Raw genomic sequence first — 24,328 nt, 5'->3', positions numbered from 1 at the left:
TCAACTGTAAGTTAGTATTTGGATGGGTGGACTCTTACTCCAGAGACTGGAGAAGTCAAAGACATCCAGACTTTTTAACCTATCACCTCATAAGCACTTCAAGTGGAACTGCATAGGAAGAACTAGAGGAAGGATAAGAGTAGTCACAACTAAGCATAATGAAGACATGGTGCAAACATAGTCAACTAGTTGATTTCTAAGACTCCTTCCAAAACATAAGGGTCCAGTTTTATGGATCATAGTGGGGAGATATAATTTTAGAAGGCCCATAGATTGCTTTATTTCAAAAATTGCTTCAATTCCTCATGTCTGGCAGGAGGAAATTGCCATTCAAAAAGTTCCTTGCAGAGGGTTCCATGGCACAGCCACACTGAGAACAAGGTTCCTGGTCCCCATGTTGTGCCAAAGGAAAAAAAAAAAAACACAACAATGTAATTTGTTCCTATTAGTAAGTAAATAAGTGATAAATGAGTGCTTGAAGCTGTAGAAAACATTTTGGTGTCTTTGAAATGGCCCATCATTGTCTCTATTTAAAGAGTCTAATCTGTCAGATGAATCCTCCCAATTAGAAAGACCCAAAGGAGAGCCTTCTTTGCATTGAGGTTGCCTATGAGTAGCTCTGGCATGAAGTTAGGTGAGTCATTTAGTAAGGTGAGCCATCAATTTCCTCATCTATTTTTTTCTTAAGGGAGTGGGGAGAGGAAAATATCCCAATCAACTACAAAGAAAAACTTAACACTTTGAAATAAGCAAAAGAGATTACTGGATATTCTTTTAATAAAATGCTACAGCCTCCTGGGATTATCTAGTCCCATGGAATACCCTCCATATCTTTGACTAGGCCATTGTACAACTCAGTAGAGATCAAAGTTAGCATGTAGAGAACAAGCAATGCAAATTACTCTTGACCATAAGCATGCAAATAATTCTGTCTGAGGCAGGGTAGAGAGGCAAATCTTCCTCTGAAAAAGGTGACTTTGTGTCCATTTTAAGTTTTCAATATTCCTGATTTAGAAATATATCTGTTTTTGGATTTTTTTTTCTTTGAGCCAGTTTTAACATCTTTTTCAGTTTTCTCATTTAATTAATGGATTAAATAAAATATCTGATACATGTTCACTTTATATTTCTGAATGAGAGTCACAGTGTTACCTTTTCATGAAAATCATCTTTAAAAGCTACTAATCAGGTAGAGCTAGCAGCTGGCAGGATCCAAAGAAAAGCCACTGTATCAGTGATGGCCTAGCTAAGCCCATGGGCCAACTCCAACTGGATGCCTATTTTGGCAGAGCCCAAAGCCTCTGCAAAACAGAAATTGTTTTTAATTTTTTAAATGTTTGAAATAAATGCTTTAAAATAATTTTTAAAGGTTTTAAAATTTTTATTTGAAATGTTTTTTAAATTTTTAAGAGGTAATAAGAATATTTCACAACACATTTCAAGTTTTCATTTTATTTCCAATTTCAAATTCAAATTTTAGTGTCTATAAGTTTTTCCAAAAAAAATACAGTAAGTCACCAATAGGTTCTTTGAAAATGTAACTTTAAGCAAAACCACTTATAAAAAAAACATGTTTTTTCCTTATCATTAGGCTTTGAAAAAAGAAATGTTATTTGAGGACCTGCCGTATGTTGTTTCACTTAAAGTCATAGTGATATGGTTAGACTTTGTGTCCCCACCCAAATCTCATCTTGAATTGTGGTTCCCATAATCCCCACCTGTCATGGGAGGGACCAGGTAGAGAGAATTGAACCATGGGGCTGTTTCCCCCATCCTGTTCTCATGATAGTGAATAAGTCTCGTGAGATCTGATGGTTTTATAAAGGGCAGTTACCCTGCACATGTTCTCTTGCCTGCCACCATGTAAGACATGCCTTTGCACCTCGTTCGCCTTCTGCCATGATTCGTTGTCTCCCCAGACGTGTGGAACTGTGAGTCAATTAAACCTCTTCCCTTTATAAATTACCCACTCTCAGGTATGTCTTTATTAACAGCATGAGAACAGGCTAATACACATAGTTTCCAAGAATTTATTGACGAAGTTAAGTAAGGACTTAAACTCTATGCCATTTATGCATTGTCTTTGGATACTTTCTCCTAAAAGGGCTGAATCGAAAAGTTGTGACAAAGAACCTATAGCTCACAAAGCTGAAAATGTTTGTTATTGGGCTCTCTATAAAAAAAGTTTGATAAAATCTGCTCTAGATTATCTTAAAGCAGTTCTTTCAAATGTTAAAAAGAATATGAGACTGAGCACAGTGGCTCACTCCTGTAATCCCACCACTTTGGGAGGCCAAGGCAGGTGAATGGCTTGAGGTCAGGAATTTGAGACCAGCCTGGCCAACATGGTGAAACCCTGTCTCTACTAAATATACAAAAATTAGCTGGGGGTAGTGACACATGCCTGTAATTCCAGCTACTTGGGAGGTTGAGGTAGGAGAATCACTTGAAACCAGGAGTCAGAGGTTGCAGTGAGTCAACATTGTGCCACTGCACTCCAGCCTGAATGACAAAGTGGGACTCCGTCTAAAAAAAAAAATATGAATCACATAGGATCTGGTAAACCTGCATATTCTGTTTCAGTTATCTGTGATGAAGTTTGAGATTTTGCATTCCTAACAAACTCCCAGATGACGTGAATGTTCTGACTCATGGTCCACACTTTGCAAAAGACTCTTCTACTTTTAAAAGAAGAAAAGAATATGCCTGACAAAGACTGCCTCAGCCAGGTTAGCAAGGTCAACATCAACAATGAATAAATCATGTTGATACTGTGTAACCTTCATATGATGCAACATTTTCTCCTTAAGCTCTTTCTCCTAAAAAACTAATAACCCCAGTCTAATCATGAGGAAAACACCACACAAATGCCAATAGGAGATAGTCTACAAAATTACCTGAACTGTACTCTCCAAAACTGTCAAGGAAGGACAGTCTGGGAATTTGTCACAGCCAAATAAGTCATGATAACTAAATGCAGTGTGGTTTCCCAGATCAGATGCTGGAACAGAAAACAGACATTAGGTAAGATCTGAGGAAATCTGAATAAATTAACAACCTAAATTAATAATATGGGTCAATATAGGTTCATTAGTTGTGACAAATATGCCATATTAATATAACCTGTTAATAATAAGGGAAATGATGCAAAGCCCATTGCAATTCTGACTATCTTTTCAAGTTTTCTGTTAATCTAAAACTGTTATTTAAAAAGTAATCTATCCTTATTTTATCAAATACTAAATAACAAGTTTTACCAAAAATTTTATAAATGGCTAACTCCAATCTTACAAAAACTCTCAGAATACAGAAAAAGAGGAAACATCTCACAGCTGATTTTTTGAGATTAGGGAAATGTCAATATCAAAATCAGACAAGGAGAGTATTAAACTTACTGTCTAGTGTCACTTATAAACACAGATATAAAAATATTAAATAGTATCTGTCAAATCAAATTCTATAATACATTAAAAGTAAACTTTTTTTAGGCTAAGCGTGGTGGCTTACGCCTGTAATCTCAACACTTTGGGAGATTGAGGTAGGCAGATCACTTGAGGTCAGGAGTTTGAGACCAGCCTGGCCAACATGGTGAAACCCCATCTCTACTAAAAATACAAAAACTAGCCGGGTGTGGTGGCGCATGTCTGTAATCACAGCTCCTTGGGAGGAGAATTGCTTAACCCTGGGAGGCGGATATTGCAGTGAGCCAAGGTTATGCCATTGCACTCTAGCCTGGGCAACAGAGTGAGACTCTGTCTCAAAAAAAAAAAAAAAAGTAAATAATTTTTGGTTAAGTTGGTTTTATCCCAGGAATACAATTAGTTTAACATTAGAAAGTAAGATTATATTATCTACTTTATTAACATATTAAAAGAAAAAACCTATATGATTATCTAAATAGATATGAAAAAGAGTGTTTGGATAAAATTAGCATTCACTTGTGGCTAAATATATATATGTAAATATACATATACAGATATCTTTAGCAATAATAGGAAAAACAATGATTTACTTAACCAGATAAACAATATCTTTAAAAATTATGGCAAACATTATGCTTAATGGTGAAAATTTTAAAGATCAATTTCTGAAAAAAAGAGGCTCATTATCACTACATCTGTTTCTCACTGTATTATATGTCTTTGATGTTGTAATTATATCAGAGAAGTAGATTAAAAAATGAGGACTTGGAATTTTTTTAAAGTGTCATTATCTAAAGATAGTATATTATAAATGCCTACCTAGAAAATTTAAAAGTTTAAGGGCCAGTTTTAGAATAAATAAGAGAGTTTGGCATTATTGTTGGTTACCAAATCAATATCAAAAGCCAACTGCACTTTTATATACCAGCAACAATCATTTAAAATATAATTTAAAAATTATACCATAGAAAATGGCCATATATCTACTGGAGTATGGTTAATATGGATGTTATCATTTGTCATAACTGAATAAATTGTACACTTATGTTTTTGAATCTTTACTGTATGTATATTTTAACTCAAAAATAAACTGTAAACAAATATTTAAAACATAAAAGTCTTTTTTATAAAAGAGTGTGGCTGGTCTTTAAGTGTTTGGGACACTTGCTGTATTTATAAGTGAGCATTAGTTTGGGGATGCTAAGCATCATATATAGTTGGTCGGGAGTGGTAGCTGTATCTATTTCGTGTTTTATTTAATATTGTTGTTTTTTGAAATTGTAAGCCCCTTTGTTACTTATGGTCAGGAGTTTGAATCTTGATGGAAGTGTCTGACACCTTGACAAGTAGTTATACCCTCACTCCGCCTGATCCACTGAGCAGTTGTCAACAGAGAAACTGCTCAGATGGGGCAAGGAGGGGAAATAAGCATCAGTAGAATATGAACAAACCTCAGTCAGAACTGCTAGAGGAGATAACAGGAGGTAGTTAGCTCACGTTCATCCACAACTATCACCTTGGAAAACCCAGGTTTTATTGGCCCACTTCAGTGTTCCTCCAAAGTGGAAGAGAATGGTTGTCAGCGAGCCTGTTAGCCAAGGGTGTCTTTAGAGTGACAGATGGCTTTAAAATTAAAGCATTTTAAGAGATGCTTTTCATCTGAGGATGAAAGCTTAGTTTCATCTCACACAATATATTGAACATGATTCCTTTCCAAGCATGCTCCTTGCAGTTAAGAAAACATTATTTAAGTGTATCAATATTACAGTATTCCATGGTACTTTTTTTTCAAGTTAGTTCAGCTATAATGACATACAATAAACCACATAGTCAAATGGCACTAGGTCATATGTTTTGACAAATGAATACACCCTTGTAACCACCATCACACTCAAAATTTAGGCCAGGCCCATCATACTCAAAAGTTTCCTGTGCCCCTTTATAAAAAATCTTGCATTATACGTTAATTAGCAGCAGTTTTTCCTAAGTGGTACATAAACAGACAGCTTTATAGTTAAACTCATCTTACATACTATGAAGTATGGAAACGCAGTTATAACAACTGGACTAGGGTGGTGCAGGGAAAGCCACAGTGAGGGGTAGCATCTCTCTCTGAAATGGAATGACACAGTGCTCTTAGCCCATCCTTTAGTTTGGGGTAGTGTAGGGTCTAGGGAAGAGATGAGAAATACATGGAAAACAGGACAATGTAAAGGAAGGCTTCTGAGCTTAACAAAGATTTCTACACCTACTACTAATTATTGTTCATTTGGATTAGCACATTCTCCATCTAATATGAAGAGACCCTCATGGATGCATTAAATTGCTCAGCCATTCAAAATTTAGGCGATATTTCAGTAAAGTAATTGACACTAGACCCTAGCAGGGATAATCCAAGTGGAGAGAACAGAATTTCCGTGGGAAGAGGTAGAAGATAGGGTGCATGGATATTGGATCATGGGGGAAATTTTTTACAGAGAATTATATAATTAAAGGACACTACAAGGACATCAGGAACTAGAAAAAGGAAAGAGGAAGAGAGTGTCGAGCAAGGGAGGCAGGAAAACACCTCGTCATGATTGTGGCATCAGTAGAAGTAGTGCTTATCAAATGTGGCCCCCAACTTCCTTGACATTTCTCCCCACAAGACGGCTTATCTATGCCCCCTCTTTCTAAATCTGGATGGGTTTATTACTGCCTCAACCAATCAAGCAATGGGAGTTATGCTAATATGATTTCTGAGGATAGATGGTAAAAGGCCCTGCAGCTTCCTTCCAGTTTTCTTGGAATGCTTTCTCTTTGGATGCTTCTTAGAATACTCTCTCATGGATCCATCTTGCATGCTATAAGAAGCCATGCCAAGTGAAGAAGCCATGTGTGGATACTTCAGCAGACAGTCCCAGCTGAGCCCTGGCCAGAACTTCCAATACTATGTTGGATAGGAGTGGTGACAGAGGGCATCCTTGTCTTATACCGGTTTTCAAAGGGAATGCTTCCAGCTTTTGCCCATTCAATATGATAGTGGCTGTGGGTTTGTTACAAATAGCTCTTATTATTTTGAGATATGTTCCATCAATATCTAGTTTATTGAGAGTTTTTAACATGAAGGGATGTTGAATTATATCAAAGGCCTTTTTCTGCATCTATTGGGATAATCATGTGGTTTCTGTCTTTGGTTCTGTTCATGTGATGGATTATGTTTACTGATTTGTGTATGTTGAACCAGCCTTCATCCCAGGGATGAAGCCTACTTGATTGTGGTGGATAAATTTTTTGATGTGCTGCTAGATTTGGTTTGCCAGTATTTTCTGATTTTTACTTCGATGTTCATCAGGGATATTGACCTGAAGTTTTCTTTTTTTGTTGTGTTTCTGCCAGGCTTTGATATCAGGATGATGGTGGCTACATAAAATGAGTTAGGGAGGAGTCCCTTTTTTCCAATTGTTTGGAATAGTTTTAGAAGGAATGGTACCAGCTCCTTTTTGTAACTGGTGGAATTCAGCTGTGAATCTGTCTGGTCCTGGGCTTTTATTGGTTGGTAGGTTATTAATTACTGCTTTAATTTCAGAATTTGTATTTTGTCTTTTCAGGGATTTGACTTCTTCCTGGTTTAGTCCTGGGAGGGTGTATGTGTCCAGGAATTTATCCATAGATTCTATATTTTCTAGTTTATTTGCGTAGAGGTGTTTATAGGATTCTCTAAAGGTAGTTTTTATTTCTATGTGGTCAGTAGTAATATCCCCTTTATCATTTTTTATTGTGTCTATTTGATTCTTCTCTCTCTTATTCCTTATTAGTCTAGATAGTGGCCTACCTATTTTGTTAATTTTTCAAAAAATCAGCTCCTGGATTCATTGATTTTTTGGTGGGTTTTTCATGTCTCTATCTCCTTCAATTTTGCTTTAATCTTAATTACTTCTTGTCTTTTGCTAGCTTTTGGATTAGTTTACTCTTGCTTCTCTAGCTGTTTTGTGATGCTAGGGTGTCAATTTGAGATCAATCTAGCTTTCAGGTGTGAGCAAGTAGTGCTATAAATTTTCCTCTTAACACTGCTTTAGTTGTTTCCCAGAGATTCTGGTACATTGTCTGTTTGTTCTAACTGGTTTCTAAGAACTCTTGATTTCTGCCTTAATTTCATTATTTACCCCAGATTCATTCAGGAGCAGGTTGTTCAATTTCCATGTAATTGTGTGGTTTTGAGTGAGTTTCTTAATCCTGAGTTCTAATTTGATTGCACTGTGGTCTGACAGACTGTTATGATTTCCATTCTTTTGCATTTGCTGAGGAGTGTTTTACTTCCAATTATGTGTTCCACTTTAGAATAAGTGCCATGTGGCATTGAGAAAAATGTATATTCTGTTGATTTTGGGTAGAGAGTTCTGTAGGCGTCTACTGGATCCACTTGATCCAGAGCTGAGTTCAAGCCCTGAATATCCTTGTTAATTTTCTGTCTCCTTCATCTGTCTAATATTGACAGTGGGGTGTTAAAGTCTCCCACCATTATTGTATGAGAGTCTAAGTCTCTTCTTAGTTTTAAGAACTTGTTTTATGAATCTGGGTGCTCCTGTATTGGGTGCATATATACTTAGGATAGTGAGCTCTTGTTGTTGAATTTTTCCCTTTACCATTATGTAATACCCTTTTTCGTCTATTTTGATCTTTGTTGGTTTAAAGTCTGTTTTATTTGAGATTAGGATTGCAACCCCTGCTTTTTTTTTTTTTTTTTTTTGCTTTCCATTTTCTTGGTAAATTTTCCTCCAACCCTTTATTTTGAGCCAATGTGTGTGTCTTTGCACATGAGATGGTTCTCCTGGATATAGCACACTGATGGGTCTTGAATCTTTATCCAATTTGCCAGTCTATGTCTTTTACTTTGGGCATTTAGCCCATTTACATTTAAGGTTATTATTATTATGTGTGAATTTGATCCTGTCATCATGATGCTATCTCATCATTCTGCACACTAGTTGATGCAGTTTCTTCATAGTGTCATTGGTCTTTATATTTTGGTGTGTTTTGCAGTGACTGGTACCAACTTTTCCTTTCCATATTTAGTGTTTTTTTCAGGAGCTCTTGTAAGGCAGGCCTGATGGTAACAAAATCACTCAGCATTTGCTTGTCTGAAAGGATTTTATTTCTCCTTCACTTATGAAGCTTAGTTTGGCTGTATATAAAATTCTAGGTTGAAAATTTTTTTTTTAAGAATGTTAATATTGGCCCCCAATCTCTTCTGGCTTGTACAGTTTCTCCTGAGATATCTGCTGTTAGTCTGATGGGCTTCCCTTAGTAGGTGACCTGGCCTTACTCTCTGGCTGGCTTTAACTGTTTGTTCTTCATTTTGACCTTGGAGAATCTGATGATTATGCATTCCGGTCTGATCTTCTCATGGAATATCTTAATGGTGTTCTCTGTATTTCCTGAATTGGCATCTTGGCCTTTCTTGCTAGTTTGGGGATGTTCTCTTGGATAATATCCTGAACTGTGTTTTCCAGCTTGTTTCCATTCTCCCTGTCTCCTCTGGTACTCCAATCAGTTGTAGGTTCAGTCTTTTTATGGAGTCCTGTATTTCTTGGAGGCTTTGTTCATTCCTTTTCATTCTTTTTTTTCTCTAGTTTTGTCTGCATGCCTTATTTCAGCAAAGTGGTCTTCAAACTCTGATATCCTTTCTTCCTCTTGGTCGATTCAGCTATTGATACTTGTGTATGCTTCACAAAGTTCTCGTGCTGTGTTTTTCAGCTCTGTCAGCTGGTTTATGTTGCTCTCTAAACTGGTTATTCTAGTTAGCAATTCCTTGAACTTTTTAATCAATGTTCTTAGTTTATTTGCATGGGGTTAGGATATGTTCCTTTAGCTCTGTGTAGTTTTTTATTACCCATCTTCTGAAGCCTACTTTTGTCAATGCATCCATCTCATCCTCCATCCTGTTCTGTGCCCTTGGTGGAGAAATGTTGTGATCATTTACAAGAGAAGAGGCACTCTGGCCTTCTGGGTTTTCAGCATTCTTTTGTTGATTCTTTCTCATCTTCATGAGTTTGTCTAGTTTCAGTCTTTGAGGCTGCTGACCCGTGAATGGGGTTTTTGTGGGGGCTTTTTGTTGTTGTTGTTGTGGTTGATGCTCCTGTTGTTGCTTTCTGTTTTTTTTTTTCCCCCCAGTGGTCAGTTCCCTCTTCTGTAGGGCTGCTGTAGTTTACTGGGGGTTCAGTTCAGGCCCTATTAATCTGATTTGCTCCTGTGCCTAGAGATGTCACTCAAGGAGGCTGGAAAACAGCAATGATGGGTGCCTGCTCCTTCTTCTGGCATCTTTGACCTAGAGGGGCACCAACCTGATGCCAGCAGGATTGCTCCTGTATAGGGTGTCTGACAACTCCGATTGGTGGGTCTCACCCAGTTGGGTAGCACAGGGAACAGGACCTGTTTAATGAAGAACTTTGTCCTTTAGTGGAGAGGGTATGATTCACTGGGGAGAAACACACTTATCTGTGCTGCCTGGATTTCTCAGAACTACCAGGATGAGAGGCTAAGTCTGCTGCTCCATAGAGACTGTGGCCACCCCTCCCCCTAAGGGCTCGGGCCCAGGGAGATCCAGATTCTGTCCCTGAACCTCTCTGGCTGGAGTTATTGGAGTTCCTGCAGGGAAGCCCTGCCCAATGAGGAAGGATGGGTCAGGGTTAAGCCTGAAGAGGCACTCTGGCCACAGACTGCCACAGCTGCAGTGTTGGGCTGTGGGGGACAAGTCTTAGGACCAAGGAATCCAGCCTCTCTGGCTCCAGCAGGGGAAAAGCACAGCCTGGGGCTATAGAGATGGGTGCCGCCCTTCCCCCACCTAGGGAGCTTAGCGTGTTTGGCGGTTGCCAGTCCTAGTGCTGGCTGCTGCCCCTCCCCCAAGGAGCTCAAAGTGCTTAGACAGCAGGCAGCCGAAGTGCGGTGCTGGTTGTCTCTCCCTGTGGGAGTTCCATAGGCTTAAGCAGATTCCAGCTGAGCGGCTGTTAAGAGTCTGTGCATTCTGGAGTTGGGACGCTAGTCCCCAGTGGCATGGATTCGCGAGTGAGATCTTCTGATCCGTGAGTTGCAGAGTTCTGTGGAAAAAGCACAGTTTCCTCAGCTGGGTAGCACGCTCTCTCACCACTTCCCTTGGCTGGGGGGAGGAGGTTCCCCGTCCCCCATGTAGCTCTCAGGTTGGCCACTGTACCACACTGTTGTTGCTTCATCCTGTGGGTCACGCCAGCCTCCTAGTCAGTTCTGATGAGAGAACCTGTATGCCTTTGTTGCTGGTGAAGGATTCACATGCTTATTATGTTTTTTTTCCGATGGAGCCAACGAACACCGCTGTTTTTAGTAGGCCATCTTGGCCCTGCCCCCCAAGAAATGTTTACATCTAATAGCAATTTATAGTTTTATTTAAAAAGGCAAAAATTACTTCTTCCAAAAGATAATGCAGTTATTAATATTAGGTAAGGTAATCAATAATATATTGTCTAAACTGGGACATTTCAGAGAGTGAAAGGAGATGCTATTAATAATTATGCCCAGGGAACAGGCATAAACTAGGACTGTCCCAGGAAAATCTGGAATATGATCTCCTTAATTTGATGGAGAGTGACCCTTTCAAAGGTAACTAAATCTGGATTAGCCTCTAAGCCCATCCAGAAATGAGGACAACTCTTAAAATATTATATTACAAATTGAGATGGAAACTATAGAAGAGAGGAAATGCTGGTAGACATGGCACCATTAGACTCCTGTCTTAAAATAAAGTTGTAAATTCTGGTATTTGTGGAGAACAATTTCTAGAGAATTTAAACAGAGTGGCTAACAGAACACTCAAATCATGAGCAAGGTTAAAATAAGTATCATATGAGTTTGTTGTATAACTCACTCATATTAATTACTGAACACTCAATACACATATGCCTCACCTTTGTGCCTAGGAAAACAATGCTGACAATTTACTTTATTCTTAGGAGTACTTGTGTGTGTGAGTGTGTTGGTGATTGTGAGGTAGGAGGCACAACACTGGAGGTGGGACTCAGATAGAGTACCAAATTGAGGACTGGCTAAAACAGGTGAGGGGGGTAAGCACCTCTTCAAAAGACATGGCACACTCCTCAAGTGTTCCATGCCAGTTTACTGTTGCCATGGCAACACCAGGAGTTACCACCCCTTTCCTTCCATGGCAATGACCTGACAACCTGGAAGTTAGCACCTTCATCCTAGGAATTTCTGCATAAACTGCCCTTTAACTTGCATATCATCAAAAGTGCATATGAATATGAGTGCAGAACTGCCTCTGAGCTGCTGCTCTGGGCACAGTGTCTGTGGGGTAGAGCTGCCGAAGAGAGAACGGCTCCTCTGCTGCTGCTGTACCCAACTGCTTCAATAAAAGTTGTTTAACACCAACAGCTCAGCCTTGAATTCTTTTCTGGACAAAGCCATGAACCGTCCTGGGCTAAGCCCCAATTTGGGGGCTTGCCTGACCTGCATCAATTGTACCAAATAATCAATAGTTGATGTCAATTTTGGCTGCCCCCAAACAAAGACCAGTGCTTCTCAAACATTAGCTTGCATAAGAATCACACAAATAATTTGTCAGAATATAGGTTGCCACTCCCATGTTTCATCTATAGATTCTGACTCAGCAATTCAGAAGTGGGATCTGAGATTCTCATTTTCCAACAAGCTCCTGATTGATGCTGCTGGTGGTCTACGACTGCTCTTGGAAAAGCACTGCAGACCAGTAATTGTCAATCTGCACCACACATTGTAATCATCTGGGGAGCATCCAAAAACACTGATACTCAGAACCCAACCACAAAGATTTTGATTTCATTGGTTTGTGATGGGACTCATCATTGGTATATTTTTAATTTTCCCCAGATGATTCTAATGTACTGCCAGGATTGAGATCCACTGTCTTTTTCTTTCCCTTTCACTTCAACATAAATAATTTGAAATATCTATCATCTCCAATAGACTGTAAGATCCCTGAGGATGAGTACCATATCTGTTGGTTTTCCTACTTTATTCCTAGAATAGCTGTCTCAGATCTCATTAGTATCTGTTGCATATTTGTCATTAATGACCAATGTTCCTCTATGGTACTTTCATAAACATGATATGGATGTTGGTGTCTTCACTTGCTTACCTCTGTGGATGTTGCAGTGATCCAGAAACAATATCTTTCTTAAATATTTGTATCCGTAAAATACTAGTGTATAACAAACTACCTCAAAACTCAGGCACTCAGAACAATGAGTATCTTTCATTGCTCATGCATTTCCATGCATCAGGTGGTTCTGCTGGCCTTAGACAAGCTCACTCATGCATCTGTGGTCAGCTGTGGGTTGGGAGGCAGCTATGCTGATATTGGCTGGGCTCCCTCACATGTTTAGGGGTCTAGACTGGTTTATATTGTTCTTGGCTGAGGCTGCTAAAGTCTCCATGTGCCTCTCAACTTCCAACAGGCTGGCCTGGGCTGGTTCACGTGGTAGCTGTGGAAGCTTCTATGACAGATAGGAAAAGCATGAAGTCTCTTGAAGCCTAGAAAAGACCTCCCATTATTTCTGCCACATTCTATTGGCAAAAACAAGTCACAAGGCAGTCCAGATTCAAACAGTGAGGGAAATGGGCTTCAATTATTGGTGAGAAGAGTTTCAGAGTCTTGGTGCAAAAGGTTGGGATAGAGAAAAGTCATGAATAGGACTAGAAATGGCGTCAATCTACCACAGCCTCTAAGGCAAACTCCCCAAACCCCAGACCTCTTCTCTCATTCCAGCTTTAGAAAAATTGCCAATATGTCTAATGGAAAAGCAAGTTGATTTCAGCTCAGTTTGCTGGCTTAAGCTATTTAGTAAATGAAAGGCTCATAGGATTTAGTTTCTAATATTTGAAAGCTGAGGAGGTGAAAATGTCTAAAGAAAAATAAAGTTGCAGTTGATGTTTATTTTTATTTAAGAATAGGTTGTAAATTATTGGTGGGAAACTTGGATCAGTGAACATGATGAATGACTCATTGCCAAATGTAGCAAAGATTACAACATGAAAAAGATTGAAATCTAGGAAATTAAAAGAAAATGTACTGTGAAAGTTAACTATAGTTAAATAATTTGACATTTATTCTCATTGGTTCCCACCTTTCTTGTAACTGTATAATAAGCAGGGATTGCAGTAGGGACTTGAAAAGAAAAGCGCTCCTAATACCCAAAGATAAAGATTCAATGTAAACCTGAGGCCAAACCTCTGGGTTTCTTTCTAAATTATCCTGACTGGTGTGCTTTCTTTGGAAGGTGGAATGCCCACCTTCCCTGCTAAAGACCTCTCTTGACTGCCAAAAGTTGCGAGAAACCTATGGTTAAGAAACTTAGAATCTGTGCTCCTGGAGGAAATAGTTTCTGGGACACATGAGAGCAAACCACATGAGTTCAAAGGTTCTTCCTTATACAGTAATAAACATTTGATCGACTGGTTTTACAAGACAGATCCCACTCTGCCCTTGGGGTTTCTCATTACTAGGCTTTTTGGCTTCAAGATCCCAAGCCTTTTCTAAATTTAAAGTGCTTGTCTTTATTACTTGTATTTCAACCTGTTTTAAAATTGTCTATTAAAGATGTCATTTATTTTTTAAAAAATCCTCCCTCTGCCCACTCCCCATCTCCCATGATCTACACTCACAACACACACACAGGCAGGCATAAAACTAAGGGCAACTTCTAAGAGGCAGAGAGAGGAGTTTACCTGGGGGTGAGAGTTTTCTCCTCATGAAGGGGCCTGAGATACCAGCTGGAGCTGACCAAAATCCCTCTTTCAAGGAAGCCCGTTTGTTCCTTTCCAAAGATATTGTTTATGTAACTCTTTAATTACAGCATAATCAAATCACAAGTATTTTGCCATGGGAAAATGTAAAGTCATTAAGCAACCTAAATACCACCCCGCCCTTTTCAGGCAGACAACACATCCATTAAGCGATTAATGCATGTTAAGACATTTTCAATTTTTTTGGCACTAATGCCAGTTCAATCATTTGGGACTGGGGATCATAGGTGAAACCTACTCATTACACTTCTTGATGGGAAGCAGAGTGCCTTACACGTTTCTTTTTAAAATAGAATTCCAATCTCCGGCCCCCACAAGGCCCAGAGCTTTAATCTGATTGCAAAATAAGCTTGGATATTGTTTGACAGCCCAGAATTTCCAGTAGGTGGATGAGTCAGATTTGAACTTTAATTTCTGTTAATTGGGTGTCTTCCTGAGCTTGTAGATTTTAGGCCTTCTAAATCCTTACATTCTGCTGCTATATTGGGCTGTGGTTTGTTGTGGGTCCTACAGAATGGACAACTTAATCAACTTCTGTTTGTAAAACAAAATAGTGACCTGCTATATGTACTTGTGAAGATGTGGCCAGAGTTGATAACAGCAAGATACACTCTCTTAGTGTTAGCAGTAAAATTATGGACACATAAAGACAAAGAGTAATCAGGGATTGTTGTATAATTCTTTCATTGAAAATGCCACTAAAAATCTTATACTGTTACTATCCTCATTTGCTCAAAAATAGTCATGGACTGGGGGTACTTATTTTTTTCAGATAAAATGATGTTGTATCCATGAGAAGCAAGAATGAACCATTGGTTGAAGAAATTGTAACTGAAATTACCATGTGCCAGGCACTGGTCATTCTGGGGATACATCAATGAATGAGAAGCATGAAGTCCCTAGCACATTCTTTTGGAGAAGGACAGATGACAAAGAAGTGAACACATAAATAAACAGACACTATAATATAGCAAAAATATTCAGAAAAGCTAAAATCCAGTAATGTGATAGATCTTAGTAGGCTATTATAAACTGGCTCATCAGGGAAGGCTTCAATGAAGAACTGACATTTAACTGAGACCCAGATACTTCATGCAGCCATCTAAGTGTAGAGTCCTTTAGGCAGAAAAAGCATCTAATGGAAAGGTGAAGCTTAATGGTTTGTCACTAAATTAAGTTAATAATAGAGAATATATATATGCCTATATTATATATATAAGCCTGTATTATATATATACATAAAGTGTATATAATAGCCTACTAAGATTTATCACATTACTGCATTTTTGTTTTCCTAAATGTTTGTGCTATATTATATCTTGTTTATGTGTTCACTTCTTTGTAGTCTGTCCTTCTCCACAAGAATGTGCTTTAGGGGAGATTAGGGACTTCATGCTTCTCATTCATTGTCATACCTCTGGCATGACCAGTGCCTGGCACATGGTAATTTTTTATTACAATTTCTTCAACCATTGGTTTTATTCTTGCTTAATTTTTTATATACGTATATATTTTTTTCTTTACCTTCAAATGCTGTCAGTATATATTTATATGTGGGCCCTTACAGATTTATTATTTCTGTTTGAAAACCAAGTTGTTCATTTTATGTTTGTTTTCTTAGTGTTTGGTGAAAGTGTCATAGAATCATCATAAAGTTTTTCTTTCTTTGCATTGTTCTCTCTGTTTTCAGATTGAGGTTTATGGACAAGACTGAGATATTCTGGCTTTGAATAAAGAAAGGAAAAAAGGAAATCCTACCACAAAATTAGTTGGCTTAATTCCTAATGACAGGTGAATCAGTTAGCTTTTACTGTACAACAAACCACTCTCGAATGTGGTGGGTTAAAACATCAAACATGTATATAGTCCATGCATCGGCAGGTTGACAATTTGTGCTGTGCTCAGCTGGGCCCTTCTTTTGGTCTTGATCAGGCTCATTCATGCACCTGTGGTCAGTTGCAGTTTAGAAGGCAATTCTGCTTTGGAAGACTGTCTGACTGTTGGCTAAGGCAATGGGGCAACCTGGGCTGTGTGTCTCCCATCATCCAGAAAGCTAGCCTAAGCTTATTCATAGAGTCAGGATGCTAACAGAGCAAGTGAAAGTCTGAAAAGCCTCTTGAAGTCTCAGCTCAGGGTGGATACAGTGTCACTTTCTTGGCATTCTAGGTCAAAATAACTCTCAGGCCAACACAGATGCAATGGCTGGTGAAACTGGCTCCGTGCCCAGGTGAGGGGAGTTGCAGTCACATTGAAAATGAGACAGATATAGGGAGGAGTGAAGAACTGGAGACATTTTTCAAATTGATTGACCACAGCAGGCAAATGCTAACAAGACAGCATGAAAATGCCTATATTACAGGGATTGGCAACTATTTTCTTTTTTTTTTTTGTAACTGACCAGATAGACAACATTTTTGGCTTTGCAGGCCTGTCAGTCAGGCTCTTTCACAACTATTCAACTCTGTCGCTGTAGTGCAAAAGCAGCCATTGACAATAAGTAAATGAATGGGCATGGCTATGTTCCAGTGAAACTTGATTTACAAAACAGTAAGTGGGCTGCATTTGGCCCACAGAACCATAGTTTACTGACCACTTGTCTATTTTCCTAGAGTGAGATAATTTTGCTACGCAAGTCTTTGCATTTCAAACAGGCTGGAATAGAACATAGCCTCTAGTGGCATCTATCAGACACCAACAAAGTCTCGGAGGAAGAAAGTTGAATCACTCATCAGACCACAGGCCGACACATGGATGATGTTTTGTTCTAGCAGTAGAGGGAGGGCATTCTTTCAGCTTTTAACACAGCATTTGTTTACTGAGCTACTTGCATAAACCAAGATCTCTATCATTGGTAGTGCTTGTTTGCTGCCTGGGTGTAATAATCATTTATTTCCCTTTGTTTGTTGTGGTTAGTTCACTTTCAAGCAAGAAAGACAAAAATTTCTAAGTAGAACAAATGATGAGAGGCAGGGGAGGAGAAAGAGTAAAACAATTAGAGAGCTCCTCGAGGGCAGGCACAGAGCCTAGTCCAGGAAGTCAAATTCTCCAGCTGGAATTGATCCTGGACTTCTGTACACTTGTTCTCAGCCTTAAGTGCACATTAGATTCACCTGGGGAATTTTGAAAATCCGATGCACAGGACACACCCCAGGGCAACTAAATCAGACACACAAGAGTTGGGACCCAGGCATCAGTATTTTTTAAACCTCTCCATGCGAGTCCAAAATGCAGTCAAGTTTGTAAACCAGGGCTTTACAGTGTTGGCAGCTCTTAGTGACTCCATCTGTTGTCTGGACCATTCCACAAATGCATGTCTCCCACTCACCTAGACTGTAACCTCCCAAGAATCCATCAGCCCCAGGTCTGTCAATCCTAGACACTCAATAAAAATGTAATTACTTGTTAATCTCTCTGAATTCTGAAATGGCCCTGGGCCCTGAAGTTCACCAATGTTTGTCAACTTGAAAATTATCCCCTTTTTACAAAATCTCATTTTTCTTTTCAGCACTCAGCTACATGTTTATGATCTATATCCAGACTACTCTATTTTTGAAAATCAAGACCATTTTCAACCTCAGAGTACATTCTGTTCAGGACAAAAAAATGAATAGTCAGAATTATCTTCAAGCAGACTTCAAAAATATCCATATTCACTTTTCTAATAAAGAAAATAGTCTTATATTAAGTGTCCTCTGGACATGCCACCTAAGTTAATATTTTATTAGTTATCCTTTAAACTGCTCACAGTGGCATGGCAAACAGCTTTAGCAACTCTAATGAATTAGTCATGTTCCCCTATTACATCGCTTAGGTGATGGGGTCAGGACAATTTAAGCTAAAAAATAGTTTGGAGGTCTATTTTTCTACTAGAAAAAGTACATTTTCCCACATGACCCCAATATGTTACTCAAAAAAACCTAATAATCCTTTAATAACATCTTACACACCCCAGTCCACTATCAAATTTCCCCGCTTGTTCTCAAATATTTTTAACACTGATATTTTCAAATCCAGATTCAATCAAGGAGCACATTTTGGATTGTGATGTTATGAACGGACAAGTACTCCCTCCTTTGTTGAACTGTGAGGGGTAGAGACTGTGGGGTCCCACATCAGTCAAGGAAGACTCTAGATTTGGGGGAGAAATAAAGGACAGGTGTTTTTCAGGTAAGGTAGAAGGCACAGACAACTAGGAAGAGATTTCCAAGTAGATATAGCAGGAATGACAATACATGGCCTGGGAGGAGCCAGTGGATCCGTCTAGAAATATTGATATAAATTATTTTCACATGTATCCTGCAGAAAGCAAGTGGTCAGAAAGTCAAGCCCTGGATATCTCATAGTTTGAGAGGAAAAGGACACAAAGAGGAAAGAGATGACTTTGGAAATGAGACTGAGGAATTAGAATAGTGTGGTATTTCTAGAAAGCCAAGAGAGGGCAGAGTCCCAGGGTGTCTTGAAGCTGAAAGCTGCAGAGAAAGGAAGCCTGAAAGTGCTGCATGGATCTGCTCAGAGTGCACCGGATCAGCATAGCTCATCAGAAATGCAGGTTTTTGGGGTCCCACCTTAGACCTACTCATTTAAAATCTCCCAAGGTGAAGGCCTGGGTATCTGCGTTCACATGTTCTCCCAGAGATTCTTATGCTTGTTCAAATGTGAGAAGCTCTGCTGTCCAATACATCTTGTCAAGGTTTTGTCTCATAGCATATCCTCCTTCACCATCAGCACCTTTGATGCTTCCTCTTGCTTTCTGTCCATAGCACAGATTTTTTTCTCTTCTTAAAAACAAGAGAAAGCAAGAAGGCAAGGAAAAAAGACAAACAAAAATCAAACCATAATAATAATAATGTTAAAACTTCCTGTCTTCTACCTTTAACACTTTATTATTTTAAATGTTTCAAATTGTATATAACCTACCATCATGCCATTCATAGTCTCACAAAATACCCTGTATAGGACCTGAAATCCACCTTCTACAGAACCCCTCATCCACCACCTCAAGCAAGAGCATACGCTAAAATCATCAAATGGCCCGATAAGCAGGAATTCTCCATCCTTTTTCTTCTTGCCCATTAGCAATATTCTTGAAACTTGACTCTCTGGGATTCTTATATGATACCACTTAATTTCTCAAATCCTGTTTCTCAGACCCTCCTAGTCCACCTTTTCACTAAACAAGGGCATTTCCCCAAATTCAATCCTTGGTGTGTTCTCTCTACTTCTCTATTCTCCCTCCTCCAGAGGTAACATCTGATGTTTCAATTTTGGCAGTTACCTGAGCAAGTGATCCTGATATGTAGGTGCTGTTGGCCTCCAGTCTCACACATCAACTCACCAATCATGGAGAAGAAGTTAGATGACTTCCTGTCACCTGTCATTTGTGCATTTTCTCCAAATCCTCAATCCCTTCCAGTAAGTTCCTTTCTAACTTCCTTTATCTATGAATGCTCTTTCAAAACTCCAGCTTAAACCCCATGCCATCTTAGCATACCACCGCTCTACTGTATTCATGATTTACATTACATATGCATATATTTTTTCTTAGTTTTGCTTCCTTACACCTATCAAAATATTAAGTATATAGTCATAGTACTACTTTTTTAAATGGACTCCAGTAAAATACCTAAGAAAAAGTCGCTGGTTAGGATGTGGAGACTTGAGTTTGAATTATTAGTCTCCCTCTCAGAGGCTCAGTTTCCTTGGCTGTATACTGGGGATAAGAGTGCTGCTTACTTCACAGAGCTGTTGCAGAGAACACAGACAATATTCATGAAATCTACAGTACATTCCCTGGCATATATCCAGTGCTTTGTTGCACTGGTTATTGCTGTCGATCCTAGTCCTTCCCTACATGATTTCTGCTTCTCCTGTAGATCGGTATACTAAAGAGCAGAGCTGAGGTCTGCGGAAAATTGTGAAATAGACAAAGTCAGCTTCTCCTCTCATTGAGCCCCTAGAGTATTTTTCCACTCATCAAAGCTGCGAAGGTCTCATTATTGGCGGGCTGACAAGAACCAATCTTAGCCACATGGAACTTTAGACATGAGTTTCACGTGTGTGTGTGTGATAGTGTGTGTGTGAGTGTGTGTGACAGTGTGTGTGTGACAGTGTATGTGTGTGAGTGTATGTGAGTGTGTTTATGCATGTATGTGTGTGACAGTGCATGTGTGTATGTGTGTATTTGAGTGTATATGCGTGTATGTGTGTGACAGTGCATGTGTGTGTGTTTGTGTGTGACAGTGCATGTGTATGTGCTTGTGTGTGACAGTGCATGTGTGTATGTGTGTATATGTATTTGAGTGTGTATGTGTGTGACAGTGCATGTATGATTGTGTGTGACAGTTCATGTTTGTATGTGTGTATATGTGTGTATTTGAGTACGTGTATGTGTGTGACAGTACATGTGCGTATGTGTGTATGTGTGTATTTAAGCGTGTATGCATGTATGTGTGACAGTGCGTGTATGTTTGTGTGTGACTGCATGTGTGTATGTGTGTATATGTGTGAGTATGTGTATGTATGTGACAGTGCGTGTGTGTGACGGTGCATGTGTGTGAGTATATGTATGCATGTGTGACAGTGCATGTGTGTATGTGTGTATATGTGTGTATTTGAGTGTGTTCATTTGAGTGTGTATGTGTGACAGTGCATGCGTTTGTGTGCAATGCATGTGTGCATGTGTGTATATGTGTATTTGAGTGTGTATGCGTGTATGTATGTGACAGTACGTGTGTGTGTATGTGTTTGTGTGTGACAATGTATGTGTGTATGTGTGTGACAGTGCATGTGTGTGTATGTGTCTGTATGCGTGTGCGACAGTGCATGTGTGTATATGGGCATTAATGTGTGCGAATGTGTGACAGTGTATGAGCATGTACATGTGAGTATTGCCACAGAGAACAGCTTTGGGGAGCAGCCAACTTTCTCAAAATTTCTGAAATTACCTCTAAACCTCTTTCCTAATGAAGTGGCTCCAAAGTGCCTGAGAACAAGGAAAGGAAACGAGTTGGGATTTCTCGCGGTCTCCTGTCATCCACGGGTGCTATGCCTCTGCTTCTGGCACAGACAGTCAGAAGCCAGGACAGGCTGTTCCTGCATAATTCACTCATTTGTGCCTCAGGATAATTTTGAAGCAGCTTGTTGCTGAAGGATAAATGACTCTACCTCCTTAAATTAGACAAAATGAGGTTTTGTACTATTTTCTGTATTTGTTAAAGTAGCAACTTTACTGCTGTAAAGTCCCTTGAGGAATTTGTTGATCTAAAAGACAGTTAATAATGTCTTAAAATTTAGATATGCAGTAACAGCAAAAGAATCAGCAGAAACAAAAGGAAGGAACTAAGCACCATCCATGATGGTAGAATGACATATGAAGCGATAACCCATTTAAGATAGAACCTCCAGGACTCATAATATGCACACTCACAAGTAATAAAATAGGAAGAGGTTAGAAGCTTTTTTTGGAAGCAACATTCAGAATGTGATCTAATGCAATATTGTAAGGAAGGCACTATACTGTGCACATCTAGGAGAGTAAATACAACTTTTTCCACAGCAAGGAGGAGGAGGAACTAATATTTATTGGACACAGAGAGATTTACATATCTCTTAAAATGCAATCCTCATAAAGATCATTATAATATTAAATGATCGTCATTGTGCAGCTGAAGAAATTGGTACTCAGAGAAGTCAAGAATGTTCTTCAAGGACACAGAGGAGAACTAGATTTGAACTCAGGTTTATTTCCTCTCTATCACTTTTTCTTAACACCATTTTATTCATGCATAGAATTCATACCAAAAAGTACCGTAGTTTTACTTGTAAAATGCTGAAATTTTTACTTCACAAACACTTCGTGTAAGCAGCCCCCAGATCAAGAAACGTTACCAGCACCCTAGAAGCCTCTTTTGTTCCTGCCCTGACACTCGTCTCCCACAGAAAACCACTCTACTTGTTTTTAATACAATGAATTTGTTTTGCCAGTTTGAGAGCTTAAATAAATGGAATCATATAGCACGTCTTCTTTTGACTTCTTTTGTTTTACCTTACATTTGTGAAATTTATCATAATGTTATAAAGAGTTGTAAATCTTTGATTTTTACTGCTATATAGTATTTCATCACAAGACTATAAAATAATATATTTACCCATTCTATGGTTGACAAACCCATGAGGCATATTCTGCTTGTCACTATTACAAAAAATCCTATATGTGCGTTCTTGGCGCACTTATTTAACATTTCTGCTAGGTATATACCTAGAAGAGGAATTTTTGGCTCATGAAATGTACATTCCTCAGCTGTATTGAATAATGCCAAACAGTTATACAAAGTGGTGGTACTGATCTACCTGCCCACCAGCAGTGCATGAGAGTTCCAATTATTCTACATCCTTGACAATACATGGCAATTGTCTGTTTTTTTTGTTTTGCTTTGTTTTTTCATTTAGCACGTTCTAGGCATATACTGCTATCCCACTGAGATTTTAATTTATATGAAAAGTATGCAATCTCTTAACTGCTTTTTTCCACCAGTCTTTATTATATTTGATGGTTTGCATTTTTAAATTACTCAACTAGAGCCCCTAAATTAATGCAGTGGCCCCAAATGCATCTAGCCAGGAGAAGCAGTCAGCCCATGAACAACAAAATGGAATTGAGACCAAGGTACCAATGACTGCTTCAAAAAAGAACCAGTGGGAGGCAGTTAGTAGGAACACAACAGATTGCAAACGTGGCCTCAATTCTCTACCCTCCCTGTTATCATATCCTTAGACAATGTGACCTTTCTTCTTCTCCAGTCAAAAAGTAGAGTTTATTTCCCCAGCCTTTAAATACACACTGGTATTTTGATTTGCTTTGGTTAGTAAAATGCAGCTGAAGTAACAATCCATCAGGTCAGCTTAGGCCTCAGACGTTGTGCGTGCTTATACTCATTTGCTTGGAATTTCACTGAGCCACAAAATGAACAAACCTGGGCTAGCTTACAGGAGGATGAGAGATACATGGACCAGAGCAGAGATGCCCCAACTGAGATCATCCTGGTGATCTGAAAGGAGACTCATAAGAGCACCTTATCGGGATAAGCTGAGCCTGAGCCAGATTCACAGAACCACTGGTCACCTGTAGATTTGTGAAGAAATAATAAATGGCTCTTCTTTCAACCCATCAAGTAGAAGGAGGTTGGCAGACTTGACTAAAGTTGTCCAACGTTGTCCAAAACCCTTTGGGGGATATGGTTCCTATTTCAGTCAGATGCTAAATTTCTCTGCCACATATTATCTCTTCTTCATAGAAAAGAAACTGGAGGCTGGGCATGGTGGCTCACACCTGTAATCCCAGTGCTTTGGGAGGCCAAGGCGGGTGGATCATCTGAGGTCAGGAGTTTGAGACTAGCTTGGCCAACATGGTGAAACCCTTTCCCTACTAAAAAATACAAAAATTAGCTGGCTGTAACCCCAGCTACTTGGGAGGCTGAGGCAGGAAAATCACTTGAACCTGGGAGGCAGAGGTTGCAGTGAGCTGAGATCGCGCCAGTGTACTCCAGCCTGGGCGACAGAGTGAGACTCTGTCTCAAAAAAAAAAAAAAAAAGAAAGAAAGAAAGAAAGAAACTTGAATCCCCAAAAGCCAAGTGAGATATGATTCTTCTCTTTCTTAATCTAACTCTACCATCTTGAAGACCCTTGCAGATGTTGGGCCTTCACCCTTAGTAAAAAGCGGCCCTAGGAAAGCAAGCCCTGCTGTCTGACCTAATTTACTCTTGGATGATGGCTACACATCAGTTCCCAAGTCCAGCCCAAGTGAGCCAGGGATTGCTTGTGTCAGCACATGTAGCTCCCCCTGAACTCTGATGTGCTGCCAAACAGTCCTCCTCCCAAAGCAATCAAACCATCCCTTTGCTGGTGATGAAAATGACTGCCTTTGATGTCTCACTGGATCTGAGCTAAAGTATTTCCAATAAAGAAAATGACTCTGCAAAAATACTTTCTTGGTAAGGAGGCAATATGTCAGAGTGTGCCCAAGCAGTGCTCTAAAATACACAGTGATCACCTGGGATCTTGTTAAAATCAGAATCTGATCAAGTAGGTCAGGCATGGA

General features: G+C 39.2%; 1 long non-coding RNA gene across 1 annotated transcript in view, besides 1 other annotated feature; it reads left to right on the top strand.

Moving 5' to 3' along the window:
- LOC105372529 (uncharacterized) overlaps positions 1–24,328 on the top strand; it is a 117,487-nt gene that overhangs the window by 37,279 nt on the left and 55,880 nt on the right. The window lies entirely within an intron of this gene.
- Positions 9,393–9,442: an enhancer, noted in NCBI's record as "active region_17548". NCBI's record gives its function as "activates an Ori minimal core promoter by ATAC-STARR-seq in GM12878 lymphoblastoid cells {active_cell/tissue: GM12878}" and the evidence as "EXISTENCE:reporter gene assay evidence [ECO:0000049][PMID:35858748]".

This window comes from Homo sapiens, chromosome 20, assembly GCF_000001405.40.
Source record: "Homo sapiens chromosome 20, GRCh38.p14 Primary Assembly".
Lineage (NCBI taxonomy): Eukaryota > Metazoa > Chordata > Mammalia > Primates > Hominidae > Homo > Homo sapiens.
This window is presented reverse-complemented; position numbering and strand designations above follow the sequence as displayed.